Genomic DNA, 25,483 nt, shown 5'->3' on the forward strand with positions numbered 1-25,483 from the left:
GCCAACGTGTCTGAAACAGACAACAATTTTAGCCAACGGCTGCGTGGGCCTTGGGCGTCCTGGCCAATGGGAATAGTGAGGGGCCTGTCACTAAGAAACCTGTCCCTGAGCAACGCATAGGAGGGGTGGAACCCAGCAGCGCTGACTGAGCCGCCGCGAAGTGCCGGAACGTATTACCTGGGAGCCAAATTTCAGAGCGTCGTTTGTCTTCCCAAGCCCACCAGCTTTCAGCGTTCTCCAGCCTCGCCACACCCCCGCCTCGGGCCGTCCCCGCCCAGACGCTTGTCCCCGCGAGAAGCTGAGCGCACTGAAGTGAGCCCGGCGGCTGCCGCCGGAGGAGGAGCCCGGCTCTGGACACGGCCGTCAGGAAGCTCAGAGGCTGCAGCACCGCTTCTGCGTTGATTTCCGCTTGACTTTTACTCTTTTCTTGGGTTAAAAATCAAACGCCGACCCGAGGCGTCAGAGATGGGCGGTCGTTAGGCGCAGTGGCGGCCCCCGGATGTTTGCGATGGGACGGCGGGCTCGGAACGTGTGGACGTGGGCTTTGGAGGTGCGAGCCCCATTGGGCCAGGGCTGGGTCCGGGCAGTGGTACGGGGTCTCAGCTGTCCGTCACAGGAGATGTGCAGGCCTCGTCATCTGGGGTCTTACGTGTCAGTGATGTGGGGTCTGCCGGGTCAGTGAGGGGGTCTGTGAGGTCACTAGTGGGAGGCCACTCCCAAAGTGATTCCCCTCTGTCCCACCTGCTTCCCTGAGAAAAGCTCACTTATCCTTCACCAGGATTTAAAAATATATATCCTAAGACCAACCTGTAATATTTTTTTCTTTTTTGGAGACAGGGTCTCTTTCTGTCACCCAGGCTGGAGTGCAGTGCCACAATCTCATTGCAACCTCTGCCTCCTGGGCTCAGGCAATCCTCCCACTTCAGCCTCCCGAGTAGCTGGGACTACAAGTGTGTGTCACCACACTCAGCTAATTTTTAAATTTTTTATAGAGACGAGGTCTCACTCTATTGCCCAGACTGGTCTCAAGCGAGCCTCCTGCCTTAGCCTCCCAAAGTGCTGGGATTACAGGCATGAGCCACCGCGCCCACCCAATATTCTCTTTTTCATGGACCTTGTTTAGTTGCACTAAAAAAAAATTAATATATTTTATTTTTGTTTAGAGCGTGTTGGGTTTACAGAAAAATCAACTGGAAAGAACAAGGAGTTCCCCCCATCCCTTTCTACCTTAGTGTTCCCCTTATGTTCTACCATAGTGTTTCCCCTATATTTACGTTTCATATTACTCTGGTACATTTGTTACAACTGATACACCAATATTAATATATTATTATTAACTGAAGTTTATAGTTTACTTTTTTTTTTTTTTTGAGTCGGAGTCCCGCTCTGTTGCCCAGGCTGGAGTGCAATGGCACGATCTCGGCTCACTGAAACCTCTGCCTCCCGGGTTGAAGCAATTCTCTTGCCTCAGCCTCCCAAGTAGCTGGGATGATAGGTGCCCGCCATCACGCCCGGCTAATTTTTGTATTTTTAGTAGAGACGGGGTTTCACCATATTGGCCAGGCTGGTCTCTTGGCCCGGCTGGTCTTGAACTCCTGACCTTGTGATCCACCCGTCTCAGCCTCCCAAAGTGCTGGGATTACAGGCGTGAGCCACCACGCCTGGCCCTTTTTTTTTTTTTTCCTGACGGAGTCTTGCTCTTGTTGCCCAGGCTGGAGTGCAATGGCGCGATCTCGGCCCCATGCAACCTCCACCTCCCGCGTTCAAGTGATTCTTCTGCCTCAGCCTCCCAAGTAGCTGGGATTACAGGCATGTGCCACCACGCCTGGCCACAAGTTTTAAATTTTAATGAAGTTCAACTTATCAGTTTTTTGTTTCACAGATTGTACTTTTGGTATGGTATCTGAGAAAATATCACTAAACCCAGGATCACCTAGATTTTCTTCTGTGCTGTCTTCCAGGAGTTGTATAGTTTTGCATTTCACATTCAGGTCTTTGATCCATTTTGAGTTAGTTTCTGTGAAAGGTATAAGGTCTTTGTCTAGATTCACATTTTTGCCTGTGGATGTCCAGTTTTTCCAGCACCATTTGCTAAAAAGACTATCCTTTCTCCATTGCATTGCCCTTGCTCCTTTGTCAAACATCAGTTGACTATATTTGTGTGGCGCTGCTTCTGGGCTCTTTATTCTGCCCCACTGACCTCTTTGTCCATTCTTCTGCCAGTATCAGAGTGTCTCCATTACTATCGCTTTATAGGAAATTTTGAAGTTGGGTAGTGTCAGCTCCCCAACATTGCTCTTCTCCTTCAATACTGTGTTGACTATTCTGGGTCTATTTCTAATCTAGCAATGGAAGTTTTGCATTTCATTAGTCTTTATTTATTTATTTATTTCAGACAGCGTCTCACCCTGTCGCCCAGGCTGGAGTGCAACGGCACAATCTCGGCTCACTGCAACCTCCACCTCCAGGGTTCAAGCAATTCCCCTGCCTCAGCTTCCCAAGTAGCTGGGATTACAGGCACACACCACCACACCTGGCTAATTTTTTGCATCTTTGGTAGAGACGGGGTTTCACCATGTTGGCCAGGCTGGTCTTGATCTCCTGACCTCGTGATCCATCTGCCTTGGCCTCCCAAAGTACTGGGATTACAGGCGTTAGCCACCGCGCCCTGCCTCACTAGTCTTTTCAAGAAAGAAGCTTTTAGATGTGGATTTATTATCTGTTAATTCTCATTTTCATCTTCATTATTTCCTTTTTGCTACTTTTATTTGGATATTTTCTAGGATTCTTCCTAATCTCTTGGGTTGGATGCTTAACACTTACATTTCCATTGATCCTGTTTTCCTAATAGAGGCATTTGGGGTAATGCATTTTCCAGTAAGTGCCACTTTAGATTATATCCCATTTTGTGTGGTGTCCTATATCAGTTAAACCCACCGTATTCATTGTATAAATCAAATTTTTCATATACTTACTGTATTAGTCCATTTTCACGCTGCTGATAAAGACATACCCAAGACTGAGTAATTTATAAAGTAAAAGAGGTTTAATGGACTCACAGTTCCATGTGGCTGGGGAGGCCTCATAATCATGGTGGGTGAAAGGCACTTCTGACATGCTGGTGGCAAGAGAGAATCAGAGCACCAAGCAAAAAGGAAACCCCTTGTCAAATCACCAGATCTCATGAGACTTATTCACTACCATGAGAACAGTATCAGGGAAACCACTCCCAAGATTCAGTTATCTCCCACTGGGTCCCTCCCACAATATGTGGGAATTGTGGGAGCTGCAATTCAAGATGAGATTTGGGTGGGGACATAGCCAAAACAAGTTATCTCCCACCAGGTCCCTCCCACATGTGGGAATTAAGGGAGCTGCAATTCAAGAAGAGATTTGGGTGGGGACACAGCCAAACCAGATCACTTACCAATTATGTGCTGTCCTGCTCTATCAATTCCTAAGAAAAGTGTGCAAAAATTTCCAAATGGTAATGTGGATTTGTAGTTTATTCCTCTAATTGTCCTATTTTGTATAATACATTCTTTGGTCTATGTTAATTTGAAATTTTGAACATAGAATCATTATATCTTCATAGAAAATTGTACTTTTATCCTTATATAATGACCCTTTTTATTCCTAACGATGGTTTCCCTAAAGCTTATGTTACCCAATTAATGTTTGCCAGGTATATATTTTTCCACTCATACTCACTTTTTATAACATTTTTATGCATTTATTTTATAAACATATACATGGAATATTTTAAAGCATAATGCGACATTCTGCTTTTAAACCGATGAGTTTATATGATTTGTGATTATTGATACAGTTGGCTGGGTGCGGTGGCTCACGCCTGTAATCCCAGCATTTTGGGAAGCCGAGGTGGGCAGATTACTAGGTCAGGAGATCGAGACCATCCTGGCTAACATGGTGAACCCCCATCTCTACTAAAAATACAAAAAATTAGCCGGGTGTGGTGGTGGGTGCCTGTAATCCCAGCTACTCAGGAGGCTGAGGCAGGAGAATGGCGTGAACCCGTGAGGCAGAGCTTGCAGTGAGCCAAGATGGCACCACTGCACTCCAGCCTGGGCGACAGAGCGAGACTCCGTCTCAAAAAAAAAAAAAAAAAAAAAAAAGATTATTGATACAGTTATGTTTATTTCTATCATTTTACTTTTTGCTTTCCATTGGCCTTGTGTTTTTTGTCCCTTATTATTTTCTATCTTCTTTTGGATTTAATCAAGCTTTCTCACTTCCATTTTCAATATCTATTCTTTAAGTGTTAATGTTAAGGTGTTTGCTATGTATACAAGACTTAACAAAGTCTAAAGGTAATCACTTAATCTGCTCTCTCCATAACCAACAGAGAGGCATCCCAATTTTTTTTTTTTTTTTGAGGCAGAGTTTTGCTCTTCTTGCCCAGGCTGGAGTGCGATGGCGCGATCTCAACTCACTGCAACCTCTTCCTCCCAGGTTCAAGCATTTCTCCTGCCTCAGCCTCCTGAGTAGCTGGGATGACAGGTGCCTGACACCACGCCCAGCTAATTTTTGTATTTTTAGTAGAGACTGGGGTTTCTCCATGTTGGTCGGGCTGGTCTCGAACTCCTGACCTCAGGTGATCCACCAGCCTCGGCCTCCCAAAGTGCTGGGATTACAGGTGTGAGCCACCACGCCTGGCTCCAATTTTTTTTTTTTTTTTTTTGAGACAGAGTTTTCACTCTTGTTGCCCAGGCTGGAATGCAGTGGCACAGTCTTGGCTCACTACAACTTCCACCTCCCAGGTTCAAGCGATTCTCCTGCCTCAGCCTCCCAAGTAGCTGGAATTACACACACCCACCACCACAGCTGGCTAATTTTTTGTATTTAGTAGAGAGAGGGTTTCACCATGTTGGTCTGGCTGGTCTGGAATTCCTGACCTCAGGTGATCTGTCTGCCTTGGCCTCCCAAAGTGCTGGGATTACAGGCGTGAGCCACTGCACCCAGCGTCCCAACATTTTTATCTCTGATCATCCTGAACACATACCATGTTACTCACTGTTTTAGTTCTGCGTTATTTTTGTTGCATAACCAGTAACATAACATTATTATTGTTAGTTTACATAGCCAATACTAGTTTAGGTTCACATGTATTACCTCTTGGCTTCACCCACTACTTTTCTCTGATGGCAATCTTTGGAAGTTCCTTCATTGAGGGTTTATTAGTGGTAAACTCTTTATCTTTGCTGTGGTGCAGTGTCTAGAATTTTTGTTAAGTGAAGGTTTTACATTTAAATCTTCATCTATTAAGTTTGAATATGGGATGAGTTATGGATTGAGGTTCATTTGTTTTGTATATTGACTTTCAATTGTTGCAGCACCATTTTTTTAAACCACTATTTTCATTGATTTGCCCTTGCAACTTTGTCAAAAATCAATTGACCATATACACGAAGGTCTATTTATGTATTCTCAATTATGGTCCATGATCTATGTGTTTATCCTTTCTCTGACACAATGTTTAGATTGCTGTATCTTTACAGTAAGTTTCGAAGTCAGGGAGTGCGAGTCTTCCAGCTCTGTTCCTCTTTGACAAAAGATGTTTTGGCTATTCTAGTTTCTTCTGCTTTTCCAAATAAATTTGATTAACTTGTTAATGTCTACAAAAACTCCTGCTGGAATTTCCATTGGGATCGCAATAAATTTATAGGTAAATCTAGAGAGAACTGACATTCTACTATTTATTGTTCCAAACCACAAATATGATACATATTTCCATTTATTTAGGATTTGGATTTCCCTTATTTCTCTCATAAGCGTTTTGACGTTTTCAACATACAGATCTTTTATAACAACACTTACCCACTTCCCACCATTCTACCCCCATTCCTAAACCTTGGCAACACAAGAATCTGTCCTCCATTAAAAATGTTATGATTTCAGAAATGTTATATAAATGGAATAATACAATATGCAACCTTATGGGACTGATTTCTTGCATTTGGTGTACTTCTCTAGAGATTAATCCAAGTTTTTGTGTGTATCAGTAGTCCATTTATTTTCCTGAATAGCATTCCATATGTGTGTGCCACAATTTGTTTAACCATTTACCTTATTCTCAGTTTTTGGCTGTTCAAATAAACTGATATTAATCTGTGTACAGGTTTTGGTGAGAAAATATATTTATCTGGGATAAATCCCCAAAAGTGCAATTGCTAGGTTATATGGTAATTTGATGTTTAATTCATAAGAAACTGCCAAACTGTTTTCTAGAATTGCTGTACCATTTTCCACTCCCACTGGTAATGTATTAGTGATACAGCTTCTATGTACCCTCAACATTTGATGGTGTCACTATTTTTTTTTTTTTTTTTTTTAGACAGAGTCTTGCTCTGTTGCCCAGGCTGGAGTGCAATGGCGTGTCTTGGCTCACTGCAACCTCCGCCTCCAGGTACAAGCAGTTCTCTGCCTCAGCCTCCCGAGTAGCTGGGATTACAGGTGCGCACCACCATGCCTGGCTAATTTTTGTATTTTTAGTAGAGATGGAGTTTCACCATCTTGGCCAGGCTGGTCTCGAACTCCTGACCGCGTGATCCACCCGCCTCAGCCTCCCAAAGTGCTGGGCTTACAAGCATGAGCCACTGCACCCAGCCGCTGTCACTATTTCTTTTCTTTTTTGAGACGGAGTCACGCTCTGTCGCCCAGGCTGGGGTGCAGGGACACAATCTCGGTTCACTGTAAGCTCCACCTCCCAGGTTCACACCAACCTCCTGCCTCAGACTATTTTTTACTTAAGCCATCTTGATATCTTGATAGGTGTGTAGTAGCACTTCATTGTGATTTGAATTTGCGTTTCCCAAATCACTAATGATAGTGAATGTTTTTTCATGTGCTTGTCATCTGTATGTTTTTCTCAGTGAAATATCTGTTAATGTCTACTGCCCATTTTATAATGTTTTTTTTTTCTTTTTTTTGGGATGGAGTTTTGCTCTGTCACCCAGGCTGGAGTGCAATGGCACAGTCTCGGCTCACTGCAATCTCCAACTCCTGGATTCAAACGATTCTCCTGCCTCAGCCTCCCGAGTAGCTGGAATTACAGGTGCATGCCACCACACCTAGCTAATTTTTATATTTTTAGTATAGACGGGGTTTCACCATGTTGGCCAGGATGGTCTCAATCTCTTGACCTCGTGATCTGCCCACCTCGGCCTCCCAAAGTGCTGGGATTACAGGTGTGAGCTACTGCGCCTGGCCTGCTGTACAGTTTTAAAGATGAATTACATTGATGTATTTTGAAATATTCAACTTACCCTTACATACGTGGAATAAATCCCACTTGGTCATGGTGCATACTTCTTATATATTTTGAATTTTGTTTTCAAATATTTTGTTGAGGATTTTCACATGTAAGTTCATGACAGATATTGGCCTGTAGTTGTGTGTGTGTGCACACGTGTGCATGCAGTCATGCTGTCTTCGGTTTGTTATCAGGGTAGTGTAATACTGGCCTCATAAAATGAGTTGAGAGATATATTCCCCCTCTTCTATTTTTCTGGAATATCATGTAAAGCTGATATAAATTATTCTTTAAATGACTGGTACAGTTCTCCATCTGGGCCTAGAGATTTCTGTTTGGGTAGATCATTAGTAGTTCAATTTCTTTACTGGATATAGGGCTTTTCGATACTCAACTTCATCATGGGTGAGTTTTGGTAGTTTGTGGTTTTTAAGAAATTAATCCATTTCTTCCAAGCTGTTGAATTTATAAGTGTGAAGTTGTTAGTAGAGATCCTTTTTTATTTTTGATGTTGGCAAGGTCTGTAATAAAGTATTTCATTTTTAATACTGGTGATTTGTATCTTTTTATTTCTGTCAATGTTGCTATAAGTTAATCATTTTTGTTAATTTTTTTAAGAATGAGCTTTAGTTGTCCTATTTTCAATCACTGACTTCAGTTCTTTATCATTTTCTTCCTTGCACTTGTTTTGGATTTATTTTGCACTTGTTTTTCTAGTTTCCTGAGGTAGAAACTTAAATTACTGATTTAAAAATCTTTCCTTATTTCTCATGTACACGTTAGAAGGGTAAAATCTACTTTTGTGTGTGTGTGTGTGTGTGTGTGTGTTTTTGAGACAGAGTCTTGCTCTGTCCCCCAGTCTGGAGTGCAGTGGCGCTATCTCGGCTCACTGCAACCTCCATCTTCCAGGTTCACGCCATTCTCCTGACCCAGCCTCCCGAGTAGCTGGGACTACAGGGGCCTGCCACCACGCCCAGCTAATTTTTTTTTTTTATATTTTAGTAGAGATGGAGTTTCACCGTGTTAGCCAGGATGGTCTTGATCTCCTGACCTTGGGATCCGCCCGCCTCGGCCTCCCAAAGTGCTGGGATTACAGGTGTGAGCCACCGTGCCTGGCCTACTTTTTTATATCAAGTTGTGTGTGTTTGCTTTTGTTTTGTTTTAGAGATGGGGTCTCACTCACTCCGTCACTCTGTTGCTCAGGCTAGAGTGCAATGGTGTGATAACTCACTGTAGCCTCAGACTGGGCTCCAGGAATCCTCCTACCTCAGCTTCCCACATCAGGCTAAATTTTTTTTTTTTTTCCAAGACAGTCTTGCTCTGTCACCCAGGCTGAAGTGCAGTGGTACGATCTCAGCTCATTGCAACCTCTGCCTCCCAGGTTCAAGTGATTCTCCTGCCTCAGCCTCCAGAGGAGCTGGGGTTACAGAAGCCCACAACTGCGCCCAGCTAATTTTTGTATTTTTAGTAGAGATGGAGTTTCACCATATTGGCCAGGCTAGTCTCGAACTCCTGACCTCGTGATCTGCCCGCCTTGGCCTCCCAAAGTGCCGGCATTACAGGCTTGAGCCACCAGGTCCAGCCTAAAAAAAATTTTTTTTTAGAGATGGGGTCTTGGCTGGGCGTGGTGACTCACACCTGTAATCCCAGCAATTTGGGAGGCTGAGGCAGGTGTATCACCTGAGGTCAGGAGTTCGAGACTAGGCTGGTCAACATGGTGAAACCCTGTCTCTACTAAAAATACAAAAAATTAGTTGGGCATGGTGGTGCACACCTGTAATCCCAGCTACTTGGGAAGCTGAGGCAGGATAATTCCTTGAACCTGGGAGGCGGAGGTTGTAGTGAGCTGAGATCGCACCACTGTACTCCAGCCTGGGTGACAGAGTGAGACTCCATCTCAAAAAAAAAAAAAAAAAGAGAGATGGGGTCTTGCTATGTTGCCTACACTGGTCGGGAACTCCTGAGCTCAGTGATCCTTCCGCCTCTGCCACCCTAGTAGTTGGCATTACAGGAATAAGCCACTGCAGCGGGCAAGTTGTGTATATTTTGACAAATGCATAATTGTGCCATAGAAAACACTAGTTTTTAATATTATTTGAACCATCTAATTATAGTTACCAGTGCTTTAGAAAACAAACCCACATAATTGCCTATGGGATGGACCAAATGACAGCTAATTGTTCATTGTCCTAAAGCAGGAAAGTTAAAGGGGTGTAAAAAATTAACAGAAGTGGGTGGTCCTGCAAGGAAGGGGGTTAAGTAGACAGGATCAGGCTGGAGACGTTTCAGCTCACTCTCACTGAGGATAAAAGGAACAGACAAGAAACTGAAAGGGAACAGCTGCTTCTTTGGGTGTGGGGGTGTATCTGGATGCTTATGGATGACAACAAATTGAAAACTGATGATAATTCAGATTTAATTTGGGGATACCTGGTTGGAATGGAAACCAGAGTTTATTTGCAAATTGCTCCCAGTGATCACACTCACACATATGAATTCATGAAACAGTTTACTCAGTTAACATTTGCATACAGAGATTTTCTTTTCAAACAGAGCACAGAAGGAAGTGTCAGTAACAGGTCTGACCTCGCACAGCTGCCCATGCAATGATGAGTGGATCAAACACTACGGCTTATACAAGATGCTCCTCACAGAATGAAAAACAGCTGCTCATTTTCAGTTAGCTATTAGCCTTTTAGCCCCACCCTTGTTTTCTCTTTTTTTGAGACGGAGTCTCACTCTGTTGCTCAGGCTGGAGTGCAGTGGTGGTGCCATCTTGGCTCACTGCAACCTCCAACTCCTGGGTTCATGTGATTTGCCCACCTCAGCCTCCCGAGCAGCTGGGTTTACAGGTGCTCCACCACACCCGGCTATTTTTTTTGTTTTGTATGTTTAGTAGAGATAGGGTTTTGCCATGTTGGCCAGGCTGCTCTTGAGCTCCTGAACTCAAGTGATCCACCCACCTTGGCCTCCCAAAGTGCTGGGATGACAGGCGTGAGCCATCGCACCTGGCCAGCCTTACCCTTGTAATGAAGCAGTGAAGTACAGCTGGCCCACATCTCAGCCAACATCATCTTCTTACAGAATCTGCTTCATACAAACGCATTACACACAACAGGACACAATGCACATGCCTTGTTCATACCCTCAGAGCTGCCTGGCAAATACCATGGTTTGGGGACGAATCTACACTAGACCTGCCTGGCTGCAGTGGTAACACTCCATTGCCTAACTGCTCCTTTCACATGAGCACGCACTAATGAAAATAAAAAGTTAATTCACTTCTCCCACCCCCTATTGTAAGTTTAAGCTTGATTTGTTTTTTTAAGTACTTTTAGTGATAGGAATGCTTACTTGCTTTATTAATTATTTTTGTGGAGAACAAAGTGCCACTATGTTGCCCAGGCTGGCCTCAAACTCTTGGGCTCAAGCTCTCCTCTCCTCCCAGCTGGGCCTCCCAAAGTCCTGGGATTGCAGGCATGAGCCACCACATCTGGCCAGTAATGCCTTTTTTTTTTTTTTTTTTTTTTTTGAGATGGAGTCTCGCTTTGTCGCTCAGGCCAGAGTGAGTGCAGTGGCGCGATCTCAGCTCACTGCAAGCTCCGCCTCCCGGGTTCACGCCATTCTCCTGCCTCAGCCTCCCGAGTAGCTGGGACTACAGGCGCCCGCCACCACGCGCGGCTAATTTTTTGTATTTTTAGTAGAGACGGGGTTTCACCTTGTTAGCCAGGATGGTCTCAATCTCCTGACCTCGTGATCCACCCATCTTGGCCTCCCAAAGTGCTGAGATTACAGGCATGAGCCACCATGCCCGGCCCTGGCCAGTAATTCTTAAATGAGAACTTCAAGTTATAAATGTCCCTTCACTTACATTTCTTTTCATCTTAACAGTGAATGCCTCGATAGCTACATTCTTTTTGCTGTGCACATTTCGAGATTTAGGTATCACTAAATAAGTTTGGTGTTCCCTGTTTTTTTGTGTGTGTGTGTGATGGAGTCTTGCTCTGTCACCCAGGCTGGAGTGCAGTGGTGTGATCTCAGCTCACTGCAACATCGGCTTCCTGGGTTCAAGCGATTCTCCTGCCTCAGCCTCCGGAGTAGCTGGGACTACACACGTGCCACCAAGCCCGGCTAATTTTTGCATTTTTAGTAGAGATGGGGTTTCACCATATTGGCCAGGCTGGTCTCGAACTCCTGACCTTGTGATCTGCCTGCCTTAGCCTCCCAAAGTGTTATGATTACAGGTGTGAGCCACCGCGCCCAGCGCCTGATTTATTTATTTTTTTGAGACAGAGCCTCGCTCTATCACCCAGGCTGGAGTGCAGTGGTGTGATCTTGGCTCACTGCAAGCTCCACCTCCCAGGTTCACGCCATTCTCCTGCCTCAGCCTCCTGAGTAGCTGGGACTACAGGCGCTGGCCACCTCACCTGGCTAATTTTTTGTATTTTTAGTAGAGACGGGGTTTCACCGTGTTAGCCAGGATGGTCTCGATCTCCTGACCTCGTGATCCACCCGCCTTGGCCTCCCAAAGTGCTGGGATTACAGGCGTGAGCCACCGCGCCTGGCCTGGTTTATTTAATGTTAGCATTCTGACAAGATGTTAAATGACCCGGATACAATGAGTAATAATTGTGTTCTAAGTTGCAAAGATCCCATAAGGGAAATAAAGAATTATTAAATATCATCACCAACTTCACAGATTTGGTCTCAAAGTAAATCTGCTACATACTAAATAATTTAAATTAATATGGTGATGGAGTGTGTGGCGTTGGAAGAAAACTTGTTGAAGAAAGCTTACTTTATTTTTATTCATTTAAGAGGCAAGGTTTCACTCTGTCACTCAGGCTGGAATGCAGTGGCCCCATCATGGCTCACTGCAGCCTTGAACTCCTGGGCTCAAGTGACCCTTCTGCCTCAGCTTCCCAAGTAGCTGGGATTACAGACATGCACCATCATGGCTAACTTTTTTTTTGAGATGGAGTTTTGTTCTTGTTGCCCAGACTGGAGTGCAATGCCGTGATCTCGGCTCACTGCAACCTCCTCCTCCCAGGTACAAGTGATTCTCTTGTCTCAGCCTCCCAAGTAGCTCGGATTACAGGCATGTGCCACCATGCCCGGCTAATTTTTTTGTATTTAGTAGAGACGGGGTTTCACCATGTTATTCAGGCTGGTCGCGAACTCCTGAACTCAGGTGATCCACCCACCTCGGCCTCCCAAAGTGCTGGGATTACAGGCTTGCGTCACTGCACCCAGCCTCTCATGGCTAATTAAATTTTTTTTTTGTAGAGATGAGTCTTGCTATGTTGTCCAGCTGGTCTCAAACGCCTGGGCTCAAGCGGTCCTCCCAATTTGGCCTCCCCAAGCACTGGGATTACAGGTGTGAGACACCACCCCCAGTTGAAAAGTTACTTTGGATATAACTGATTTGAATTTTATTCTTGTGAAATAGTGATGAGATTTTATATTGTCTACTTCTAAGCGGCAGACAGTCATCATGAGGCAAATAAAATTTTCTAAGGTAAGGAGAGTGAGAATGGCCTTTCCCCTTTAGTCTATGGCAAAATAAAGGGGGGCATGGGAGAATCCTGATGGTGGAAATCATTTTATTCTCATACACAGGTTATTACAGCACAATTAGGAAGAGACAATCACAACTCACACAATGCTATATTCAAATTATGCCAAAGTCCCAACATATTCATTTCATTTGCAAGTTAATTCCTAAAAGATCAGAGCAGAGTGATACACAAGTTTATTAACACAGACTACAACGTCAATGAAGCCTCCTGGCATTGTCGGAAATAGAAAACATGTATAAAAATCTTCGAAATGCAGGTTAAAATGCAAATCCAAGTGAAAGGAAAAAGCACTACTGTGAAGCCTAACGGCAATTATTTCCCTTCAAAGGAGGTTTGTGTCCAGCTGGAGAGAAGGCCTGGTGGACAGAAGACAAAGGAAGGCAAAATTCCTAAGGGAGAAATTCAAAAAAATGATGGGGGTGCTGCCCTCTGCTGGGCCTCTTTGGCAGTCGACTTCAACTTAATGCATTAGCGCCGTAAGGTTGTAAGAGAAGCAACTCTGGCTTGATCTTAGAAAAGCTGATTTTCTTTTTGGCAGCATATTTCCGGTGAGAACTGATGGGAAAGGTGGTGTGGATTCGTGGACGAAGTCTCTAACGTAATCTTGACTACTGAAGGGTAAAGACTTGCCCACAGGTTAGAGATTACATGAATTATCCACAACGAATGGTAGCAGATGATGGGTCAGGGGTATTTTAATTGTACAGCATAACACTTTAGAGAGCTGGGAAGTATGGGACATCATTCCCGTCTTTCTTCACTCAGTAACTGATTATCTTGTTTCTTGTCCACAGATATTTAACCTAAATAACAATGCTTTTTGAAGGTTGTTTGGCTAACCCAGAGGTAGTAAAAGACTTCATAAGTCTTTCTATTACTGAAGAGGAGCTTAGTAATAACTGCAAGTCTATTTATATATGTAGCAGATGGTAACAATCTCCAGAGCCACTGACATATGCAGCAGAAAAGCACAAAGAACTTTGTATTTGTTATAATTTCTACTGCATTGTCCAGATACAGATAGAAAATACTGATATGTAGTGTGGGGAATCTTGAGACATTTCAGCCTATGCACTATGCGGCACTTGTACTGATAACTGATTATCACAATTTTATTAAATGCTCATCATTTAACAGATGGCACAGAAAATAAATGGCACACTCAGAATATTAACTCAAGAACAATTAATAAAGGCACTATTTACAAATATGTGTTCACAATTAAAGACACCCAACCAGTGGGTTGGGGAAGCACCCAGTAGTAGTTAAGTCTGAAGATCATGGAGAGGGAATGGTGTCAACTGAAACCGAGAGATCTACAGCCATAGATGGGGCTTCCCAAAGGAAGCTGTATCCTTACGGGAACACAGAAGCTACCATGGTCCAGGCAGGAGGAAGGGAACGGTAATAAATAACTTTTTCTCCTCCCACCTCTGGTATCTCCCACTGTTCAAACCTATGAAGAAACCCCAGTCTCTAGAAGACAGCCTCAGGGGGGAGCAGAGCAGAAAATGGGGGAAAAGGGATCAAAGAAATAGGGAATACTCAGCACACATGCAGATCCACAATACATACAATTTCTGTCATGTGCCTGCTACAAATTCAAGCTACCCCGAGCCCTGAAGGAATAGGCTTCTAACTCAGATGATGCAGTCTACTCAACTATATTTAAAAATTCACACTTAAGTGTTATCGTCATCACACTTTACTTCTAAATAAACTCCAAATACGTTATCATTACTTTGGCTTTAAGCAGCCAATTCCCTTTTAAAAAGATTTTAAAAAGAGAGAAATATCTTTTATATTTACCCACATATTCACCATTTTCAGAACTTCATTCCTTTGTACAGACCCAAACTTAAGTTTTGTATTATTTTCCTGCTGCCCTCAAACATCCTTTAATGTTTCCCAAAGACAGGTCTACAGGTAATAAAATTACCTTTGATTTAGTTTCTCAGAAACAGTCTTTATTTTGCCTTCATTTTTGAAAACGTTTTTGACAGTAACAGAATTCTAGGTTGCAGGGTTTGTTGTTTATTTCATTAAGGAATTTAGAGATAATACTCCATTGTCTTATAGCTTGCATAGTTCTCACCAGAAATATGCTGCCATTCTTTGTTCATGTGTATGTATTATCTTTTTTTCTCAAGGTGTTTTAAAAGTATTCTGTTTATCAGTGCTTTTCATGAATGTGACTCTGAGGTGCACTGCTGTGATGTAAATTATGTTTATTCTACTTCAGGTCATTTGAGCTTCTTGAATATGTGGGGGTATTGTTTTCACCAGATTTGGAAAATCTTTAGCCATTATTTATTCAAATACTTCTTCATGCCTCTTCATTTTCTCCTCTCCTTCTGGGACTCCAGTTAAACATATATTACACTACTGTAATGGTTTTCCTATTCTCTTCCTCTTCTCTAAGTCTTTTTTTCTCTCTGTATATCACTTTGGTAGTTTTTATTCTTACTCTTCAAGTTCATTGATTTTTTCTTCTTTTTCTGTATCTAATCTCTCCACTCGGGATTTTAACAAAATCAGAAGTTGATTTCATCCCTAGAAGTTCCATTTTGGCCAGTAAAAATATCTCTTATACCTCAGGTTTCATCAATCTTATGTTTTCCTCTACTTTATATTTACAATAGCTCTTTTAATATCCTTGTCTACTAATTCCATCACCTCTGTCTTTTCTGGGTTTCTACTGATTTTTCTCCTGGTTATAAGTCATATTTTATTGCTTCTTTGCATAACACATTAGTTTTTTTGGATGCCGGACACTGTAGGTCCAGAGTAGCTTTTAATCTAGAGTTAATTAGCTGCACTACTAAAACAAAACCTTTCTGAGAATTCTACCTGATGCTCCATGTGTTTCCACTCTGTTTCCACTCTGGCTGCTGAGAACATAAACTATTCCCAGCCCTGCATGAGTTCCAGGAATTGTTCAGCCTGCTGCTTTCCAGTGCTTCTTTTCCTGGCCTCAGTGCAAGTCAGTACTAAGTCAAAGGACTCAGGGGACTCCCAGCAGACTTCTTGAGCCCTGTATCTAGAAGGATCCCATCTCTCCAGTACTTTCCCCTGGAAATTCTAGCTGCTGTGGCCTCCCCAACTGCCAGTCCTGTCTCTTCAATTCAGCGAGATTTATTGTTTCCCTTCCCTGAACTGCAACCTAGGAACTGCCATGCGGGGGCAGGCTGAGAAACCATGGTGCTCACCTCACTCTGTCTGCAGTCTCCTGAGGATCACAAACCTGTGCTTGTCCTATGTCTAAAAACCATTACCTATTATACGTATTGTATAGCTTCCAGTTGTTTAAGGCAGGAGAGGAAATCTGACCCTTGTTATTCCATCACAGCAGTAAGGAGAACTCTTCACATCTAAGTAAACACACCTCACACTTACAATTCACTGCTTTTTGTAATAATTGATGTATAAAGAACACCACTTCCTTACAGAACTATTTCAATAGCATCATGCTTGTCAAATTCTTTACATTATTGAGACTACTCTTCAGTATGAACCTCTGTAGGTATTATTCTCAAGTGTACAGTGAGTTGTCCTTTCTTGAAATCTTCCACTTTGTTATAAAAAACAATAGAATTTTCTTCCTGTTTAGGTATTCTAAACATTTAATAAACTGACTTTTGACTAAAAGCTTCTCTACTATCACAACACTAATAAGGTTTTCACCTCAATGAGTCATCCAATATGTAACGAGTAGTGTCTTCTGGGAGATGACTTTTTTTACACTGTTTGCTTTTTAAAAACTTCTCTTTCTAAATTCTGCTTAGTGACTCTTGACTCCTCAATTCAAGCTTTTTCAACAGTCACTGCCTCAATAGGGTTTCTCTCCCACATGCATCCTCAAAAGTGTCAGAAAGTATGACACTTGATAGCAACCTTTCTGCATTCGCCAAAGTCATGATTTTTATATTATATGATTTCTCTGATGTATCATAAGCTGCGACTTCCTGTTGAAGGTGGTCCCACACTCATTGCATCCATAGTATTTATCTCCTGTATGAATCCTCTGATGCCTCATAAGGTGTGACTTTCTTGTGAAAGATTTCCCACATTCACCACATTTATATGGTCTCTCTCCTGTATGAATTCTCTGATGTATAATCAGCTGTGCCTTCTCAAAGAAAGCTTTTGCACAATCGCTGCATCCATAGGTTTTCTCTCCTGTGTGATTTCTTTGATGCTTAATGAGCTGCACTTTCTGAACAAATGCTTTCCCACATTCACTGCATTCATAGGGTTTCTCCCCTGTATGAATTCTCTGATGCCTAAGAAGCTGTGGCTTCCAGGCAAAAGCTTTCCTACATTCACTACATTCAAAGGGCTTTTCTCCAGTATGGGTTCTCTGATGATGAATGAGACTTGACTTCTCACTGAAGGTTTTCCTGCATTCACTGCATTCATAGGGTTTCTCACCTGTATGTGTTCTCTGATGTGATATCAGGCTTGACTTCTGGGTGAAGGCCTTCCCACACTCACTGCATTCATAAGGCTTCTCCCCAGTGTGTGTTCTGTGATGCGTTAGGAGCTGGGACTTCCCAAAGAAGGTTTTCCCACATTGAATGCATCCATATGGTTTCTCTCCTAAGTGAATTTTTTGATGTCTTATTAACTCTGACTTCTTAAAGAAGGCCTCCTCACAATCACTGCATCGATAGTTCTTCTCTCCTGTGTGAGTTATCTGATGTTTAATCAGCTGTGGTTTTCTGATGAAGGCTTCACCACATTCGTTGCATTCGTAGGGCTTCTCTCCTGTATGAATCCTCTGATGCCTAATGAGAAGTGAGTTCCTGCTGAAGGCTTTTTGACACTCACCACATCCGTAAGGTTTCTTCCCTGTGTGGGTCCTCTGATGAGTAATCAGCTGCGACTTCCAAAAGAAGGCTTTTCCACAGTGACTACATGGATAGGGTTTCTCTCCTGTGTGCGCTCTCTGATGTGTGATGAGTTTTAATTTCTGGGAGAATGCTTTCCCACACTCACTGCAACTGTAGGGTTTCTCTATTGTGTGCGTTATCTGATGTCTTTTAAGCTGCGACTTCCTACTGAAGGCTTTTCCACATTCACTGCATCCATACGGCTTCTCTCCAGTATGAATTCTCTGATGTAAAATGAGGAGTGACTTCCTACTAAAAGCTTTCTGACATTCGCTGCACCCATGCGGTTTTTCTCCTGAGTGAGTTCTTTGATGAACCGTGAGCAGTGACTTCTGTGAAAAGGCTTTTCCACACTCACTGCATTGATAGGGCTTCTCTCCTGTATGAGTTCTCTGGTGTATAACAAGTTGTGACTTCTTGTTAAAAAATCTGCCACATTCCATGCATAAATAGACTCCTGTGTGTGTTATGTGATTAGCAGTGAGCCATGGCTCTTCGTTGCTGGATTTTCTACATGTACTGCAATCACAGTATTTTATCCCACCATGGGTTCTGCCAGGTTTGATACAGAACAATAATTTCTTATTGAGTTCATCAATTTTCTTTCTTTCACAATTATTTTTTGGAATAAGCAAATCAAAAGGACATTTCAAACTTTTTTCTCCTGTGCCACATTTATGGGATCGCAGTCCTACATGAACAATGTTTATGCTTGAATTAAATATTTTTCCAAAAACATCATATTTATGGCCTCTCTCCATACTTTTAAGGTTGTCTTGATTATCTCGGAGCCACATTTTGGGATTATCTAGCCAGACTTCTAAAAAGAGAAAAAAATGAACCATACTGTGTAATTCCTTCAATTATTATGCTTATTGCATAAAGCTTCTGAAATGGCGCCATAATCCCAGTTTTTAAAATTCCCTCAAATAATGTGTACTTATTGGGCATTGACAATTTTAACAGAAATGAAAATGAACTTTTAAATTACAAATGTTTAAATACATGAACTTTTATTTTTACTGTTTATATATATTTTTTTGAGATGGAGTCTCGTGCTGTCACCAGGCTGGAGTGCAGTGGCATGATCTTGGCTCAGTGCAACCTCTGCCTCCCAGGTTCAAGCAATTCTCCTGCCTCAGCCTCCTGAGTAGCTGGGATTACAGGCATGTGCCACCACACCCGGCTACTTTTTGTATTTTTAATAGAGACGGGGTTTCACCGTGTTAGCCAGGATGGTCTCGATCTCTTGACCTCGTGATCCACCCGCCTCAGCCTCCCAAAGTGCTGGGATTACAGGTGTGAGCCACTGCGCCCAGCCTTATTTTTTTTTTAGAGGGAGTCTCACTCTGTCACCACGCTGGAGTGCAGTGGTGCGATCTCAGCTCACCACAACCTCCACCTCCCGGGTTCAAGCGATTCTCCTGCCTCAGCCTCCTGAGTAGCTGAGACTACAGGTGTGCGCCATCACACTTGGCTAATTTTTGTATTTTTAGTAGAGATGGGGTTTCACCACGTTAGCCAGGATGGTCTTGATCTCCTGACCTCATGATCCACCTGCCTCGGCCTCCCAAAGTGCTGGGATTACAGGCGTGAGCCACCACGCCTGGCTAAATACATGAACTTTTAAATAAGGAAATATTAAATATACTCAAAGAACAGTGATCATGAGATGAAAGAGCCTGGAGCAATTTCCAATCAAATACTGAAGTGATTAGTTTACTTTTTTGACAATAATCTATGATTATCTACTATGTGTCCAGAACTTAGTATCAGAAGATCAGAGAAGAAGTGAGGTAATATAGTTAAGAATGTGAATAATAAAAACATAAAAATGCAACATTAGTATATATTGTTGAATGGTATAATAGAAAAAGTAAGGGATATAATGCAGAATAAATGTACAATATCAACTTTACACCTGAAAGATAAGAAACATTTTTTTGTACTATTATTGCATTTATAAAATATTCTTATTCGGGATCATTACTTAAATCACTGATATCAATAACTTCACCATCATCAGTAAAACTTCCTCTTGGAATTATCCAAGAGTTCTCCAGAGCTCAGTATCAACACTTTTATTCAACTTCTTCACATTCATCCTCCTTTAATTGGATCTGTAAAGTATATATTTTATGTATATGTAATGCTATCACTGGAAATTACTCCTAACCACAATAATTTTTTTATAATAGTAGAACAGATATTTTCATCCAATAAGTACAATTGTTTGTGATTTCTACAAGACCATTTATTGCATATTTTAAAGGTTTATTTACTTGACTTTTTGATGATATTATTTACTAGCAATTGTGGGGTAATATTCTCAGGAAGTACTCTGCGAGATGAAAAGATCTGGCATGGTCTCAAATATAAAACGAGGCTGGGCCTGGTGGCAGCTCACAACAACAATCCCAGCACTTTGGGAGGCTGAGGTGGGAGGACTGCTTGAGCCCAGGAGTTTGAGACTAGCCTGGGCAACATATGGAGAAACTGTCTCTTCAAATTTTTTTTTTCTAAAATTAGCCATGTGTGGTGGTGCACACGTGAAGTCCCAGCTACTTGTGAGGCAGAGGGGGTGGATCACTAGAGCCTGAGAGGTTGAGGTTGCAGTGACCCATAACTATCACTGCACTCCAGCCTAGGAGACAGAGTGAGACACAGGCTCAAAAACAAAACAAAACAAAACAAAACAAAACAAAAAAACCCCAAAAACTACTCTTTTCTAGGGGGGAAAAAGCCTCATCTAATTCTCAGATATCAGAATTTCAGATGAAGCAGGCTGGCTGCGGTGACTGATGCCTGGAATCCCAGCACTTCAGGGGGCTGAGGTGGGTGGATCACTTGACCCCAGGAGTTCAAGACCAGCCTGGCCAACATGGTGAAACCCCATCTCTACCCAAATACAAAAATTAGCCAGGTGTGGTGGTGCACACCTGTAGTCCCAGCTACTTGGGAGGCTGAGGTGGGAGGAGGTTGTGTGAGATGAGAGTGAGCCCACTACACGTCAGCCTGCGTGACTGAGTGAGACCCCATCTCAAAAAGAAAATAGAATTTCAGAGGAAGCACAACTGCTGATATGGAAAATTAAAGAAAGACTCAGTGTTTCGGGCATAAACAAAGATGATAATACTATTCATTGAGATGAAAAAGACTATGCAAAGAAGTTTGAAGATCAAAAGCAAGAGTCATATGTAGACAAGTGTGAGATCCACTTGAAGAGTTTACAGAAAATTGTTTTATAAGATGTGGGAAAAAAGAAAAACAATACTTTTAAATTAAAATCAAATCAAGATGAGATTAAAAATATGTCTATCCAGGCCGGGTGCGGTGGCTCACGTCTGTAATCCCAGCACTTTGGGAGGCCGAGGCAGGCAGATCACGAGGTCAAGGGATCGAGACCAGCCTGGCCAACATGGTGAAACCCCATTTCTACTAAAAATACAACAAATAGCTGGGCGTGGTGGTGTGCGCCTGTAATCCCAGATACTTGGGAGGCTGAGGCAGGAGAATCGCTTGAACCCGGGAGTCGGAGGTTGTAGTGAGCTGAGATCGTGCCACTGCACTCCAGCGTGCCAACAGAGCGAGACTCCGTCTCAAAATAAATAAATAAATAAATATGTCTATCCAAATTAATGGATTAAATGATAAACAATAATAAAGTAGTTTATGTACAGGCTTAAAAGTAGTATTTGGTGATTTTTTAGAGACAGGATATCACTGTGTCGCCCAAGGAGTGACGAGGTAGGGTCATACCTCACTGCAGCTGCAAACTCCCAGGCTCAAGTGATCCTTCTGCCTCAATCACACAAGTAGCTGAGACTGTAGGTGTGTGCCAGCATACCTGGCTAATTTTTAATATCCTTCTTGTAGAGATGGGGTCTTGCTATGTTGCCCAGGCGGGCCTGCAACTCCCAGCCTCAAGCAATACTCCTGTCTTGGCCTCCCAAAGCACTGGGATTACAGGCATGAGCCACCATGTCACGCCCACCAAAATGTCATTCTGATGGCACACCAACAAATACCCTCTTTATTTCTTTCCTTCATAGTACTTATCAAATAGGTAATCCTCTTACTCGTGTCTCTCCCAGTAGAATGTAAACTGTATGAGTGTAGGGAACAGGTTTGTCTTTTTCACTAATGTACCCCCACTGCATAGCACATAACAAGCCCTCAATATAGGTAGGATAAATATTATTCACTTGTCATTGAGCTTCTAATATAGTTCCTTTTGGTATCATTAATCTTGGCAATTAATTTTGCACTTTAACACAAATGCTTCATGTTCAAATACTGCATCACTAAATATTTTATGGTTTTATATTGTCTTCTAAATTAAAATCCTATAAAGTTATTTCATGACTCATTTCAATTCCTCTCATTCCACATGAGAAGTGGTTCTAAATTAATAGGGGAATATAACAACTATCTTTACAGCTTTTCCAAACTGCACACACTCAGACCTAAACAACAATGGGAATGGTGCCCAGACATCTGTAACCCGAAATATTTCCCTGCTGTGCATTATGCCTCACCCCTGTAATCTCAGTTTCCCTGCTGTGCATTATGGCTCTTCCTGTAATCCCAGCACTTGGGGAGGCCAAGGCGGGAGGATCACTTGAACCCAGAGTTTGAGACCAGCCTGGGCAACATAGTGAGATCCTGTCTCTCCAGAAAAACCAAATTTTTAAAAATTAGCTTGGTGTGGTGGTAGTCTCAGCTACTGGGGAGGCTAAAGTGGGAGGAGCTCATGAGTCCAGATAGGTTAAGGCTGCAGTAAGCTGTGACTGCGCCACTGTACTCCAACCTGCGTGACAAAGTGAGACCTTGTCTCAAAAAAATTTTTTAAATAAATATTTCCCAGGGTAGAGGCTTAGATGGAAACTTTTCTACTGAAGGGACATCTGATAAACAAGACCTTTCCTTATCTGGGTCCATAATAACCAATTTTTAAAAATCAAGTAAGTGCATACCACAAATTCCACAGAGAACACAGACTACGTTACTGGCAATCTCTCTTTATGGGGAAAAAAATCTTAGGACTAGTTGTTTTAGGAATTTCAGATAATGTCCATCAGGCCTGAGTTACTATACTATAGATGCTACGTGGATAGAGATTTCAGAGAAAGCTGTGAGTCAAGGAACATTCACTGAAGTTGAAGAAAAGAGCTCAAAGTGAAGTCTACCTGGGGAAAATGTACCATAATCAGAGGTACAGATGCAGAGAAAAATTTCAGAAGAGCGTGTGAGGAAGAATCTAGCTCAGATGGAGTTAATAATGACTCTTGAGCACAAATCTAGCTCAAATGGAGTTAATAATGACTCTTGAGCATAGAAAAATAAGTGGAGAGATAAGATGTTCCCATACCATGAGATTCTTCAACAAAAACGGAGATTAAATATCACACAGCAGGTAATGGAGACTTAAACCCACCTGACTATGTGATGGTATGAGAGAGAAGCTTTAGAGAAGTTAAACATCAAATGTACCAGAAAGATGCACTGGGAACTGACTTGAAAATCCTTAGTTTGTACAGAGGAAGGTAAGAAGCAAAATCTCCTTACTATGTTTAAGGTATTAGGGTTTTGTGTGTGTGTGTTTTTGTTTTTAGAGACAGGGTCTCACTCTGTTGCCTAGCACATCCATGGCACACTGCAGCTTCCAGCTCCTTGGGTCAAGCAATCCTCCCACCTCAGCCTCCCAGGTAGCTGGCACTAGAGGTGCACACCACCATATTTGGCTGAATTATTATTATTATTGTTAGGTATTATTAGTAGTAGTAGATATGGGGTCTTGCTTTGTTGCCCAGGTTGGTCTCAAACTCCTGGCCTTAAGTGACTGTCGTGCCCTGCCCTCTCCCCAACCTCCACAGCATGAGGATTACAGTATGAGCTACTGCGCCCAGCCTAGATTTTCACTCTGTATCAGTGGGTTCATCTTCTACTCTCTGTGGTTTTAAAATAGAAATATATCAAATTAGAGGAAGAGAAGAAAAATAATAAATTAAAAGTTTGAAGTTTAAATAAACTCAAAGGCAATCAGTGTTATCTAAAAGAAGAAAAAAATTATGAATTCATAAAGAGAGCCTTAACTAAGAAAGTGGGGTTGTAAATGGCCACCAATCTATGCCACTGAATAAGAGGGATACATTTCATCATAAACTCCATGGAGAAAAGACACATCCCGATGTGGAGACCAGGTTATGGAGCACATCCATTAAAACTCATGTCACCAATCTTGAGTCAACTCTAAAGATTCAGGAACTTTAAACACAGTTTTATAAACAACACTTTAAAAGTGCCCACCTGTCATCAAAAACCTGAGATAAAATGTTCACTGTATCTCATAAACCTGATTATTCCTCACCTGAAAAGTTCTGATTTAGGATTTCTTGACCTATTATCCATGGATCTTGTTGTTCCAGTTTGAACATTGCATCAGGTTTGAGAATTTGAAAACCTGTCGATTGGAAACACAGAGGACTTGGACCTAACTGCCTGGGCTAAGAGTCTTAAATATGTAGAATGTTTTATTATAAAGGCTGCAAAATAAAGCAAGTGAATGAAAATCTTTCAATTCAGTATAAAAGTCAAATAATCTTTGACATGTAAAACTTACATCCAAAATAAACAAACACCTCACAGGCCAGTTACTGGCCATACACTAAGTTACATAAGAATGTTCTTACCCAAGAAAACCAGATTGCTATAGTTCTCCAACATCACATCTCTGTACAAGTTCTTCTGAGTAGGATTAAGTAGCTGCCATTCCTCCAGCGTGAAATCCACAGCCACATCCTCAAATGATATCTGGAAAAGCATAATCCCTGTTAAACCTGAAGTGGTTCTCATTTGGTCTTGTAAAATACTTTCTTCTGTATTTGTGGTAGGTGGCCTCTAAGATGGCCCCAGTGACCTCTGACTCCGGTATTCATGCTTTTGCATAATCCTCCCCTCTTGACCGTGGGCTGGACTCACTGACTCATTGTCCTGAACAGAACAGGGAAACATGATGAGATGCCACTTCCAAGACTAGGTTAGAAAGAAATGCAACTTCTATCCTGGGCACTCTCTCTCTCTGGAGGAGTCTGGCTGCTGTGTTGTAAGGCCGCCATGTGGAAGCTCATGTGCCGTGGAACTGAGGCTTCCCAACAGCCACTGAGTGAGCCTGGAGGAGCCAGCTCCTTCCTCGCTGCAGCCCTTCTCAACACCTTCATCACTGCATCATGTGAGACCCTCAACCAGAACCAACTGGGCAAGTACCTGGCAGATTCCAAAACCCAGAAACAGATCAATGTTTGTTGTTTTCAGCCCTTGAGGTTTGGGGTAATTTGTGACACAATAATGAATAACCAATATAATCTAATATAATAAATATAATAATCTTGCATTATGCCTTGAGGAAGGAATGTTTTAAAAATATTTATCATTGTGAATTCATTCATCCATGTACCTATCCACTGAACAAGAAACCAGAATAGGTTGTCTTTAAACAATACAGTGGTTCTCAAAGAAGGTGCCACTAGTATTTGAGAACCATTCTTAGGTAAGGAATACTGTTCCATGCAGTTGAGCCCTTCAGCATGCCTGGCCTCTGTCTGCTAATGACAGTAATATCTCTCAGTCACTGGCTGGGCACGGTGGCTTATGCCTGTAATCCCAGCACTTTGGGAGGCTGAGGTGGGCGGATCACCTGAGGTCAGGAATTCAAGACCAGCCTGGCCAACATGGTGAAA

General features: G+C 42.4%; 1 protein-coding gene and 1 long non-coding RNA gene across 3 annotated transcripts in view; one reads left to right on the forward strand and one right to left on the reverse strand.

Moving 5' to 3' along the window:
* Positions 1-69: 69 nt before the first annotated feature.
* On the forward strand, positions 70-6,134 carry LOC124903065 (uncharacterized). Its single transcript, XR_007063553.1, has 2 exons — positions 70-550; positions 2,396-6,134. It is a non-coding gene; the product is annotated as an uncharacterized LOC124903065 (long non-coding RNA).
* Positions 6,135-9,707: 3,573 nt separating this feature from the next.
* Positions 9,708-25,483, reverse strand: part of ZNF605 (zinc finger protein 605) — a 38,001-nt gene continuing 22,225 nt past the window's right edge. The window contains exons 3-5 of one of the 2 annotated variants that reach the window (NM_001164715.2): positions 24,437-24,557; positions 24,115-24,207; positions 9,708-18,564 (exon numbers count right to left, since the gene is read on the reverse strand). In NM_001164715.2, the coding sequence (NP_001158187.1) occupies positions 16,775-18,564; positions 24,115-24,207; positions 24,437-24,557 (2,004 nt within the window). In that variant the 3' untranslated portion in view covers positions 9,708-16,774. The remainder of the gene's footprint in view (positions 18,565-24,114; positions 24,208-24,436; positions 24,558-25,483) is intronic. The other variant, NM_183238.4, reaches the window with a different exon arrangement.

Source organism: Homo sapiens, chromosome 12, assembly GCF_000001405.40.
Source record: "Homo sapiens chromosome 12, GRCh38.p14 Primary Assembly".
In the NCBI taxonomy this organism is placed as follows: Eukaryota; Metazoa; Chordata; class Mammalia; order Primates; family Hominidae; genus Homo; species Homo sapiens.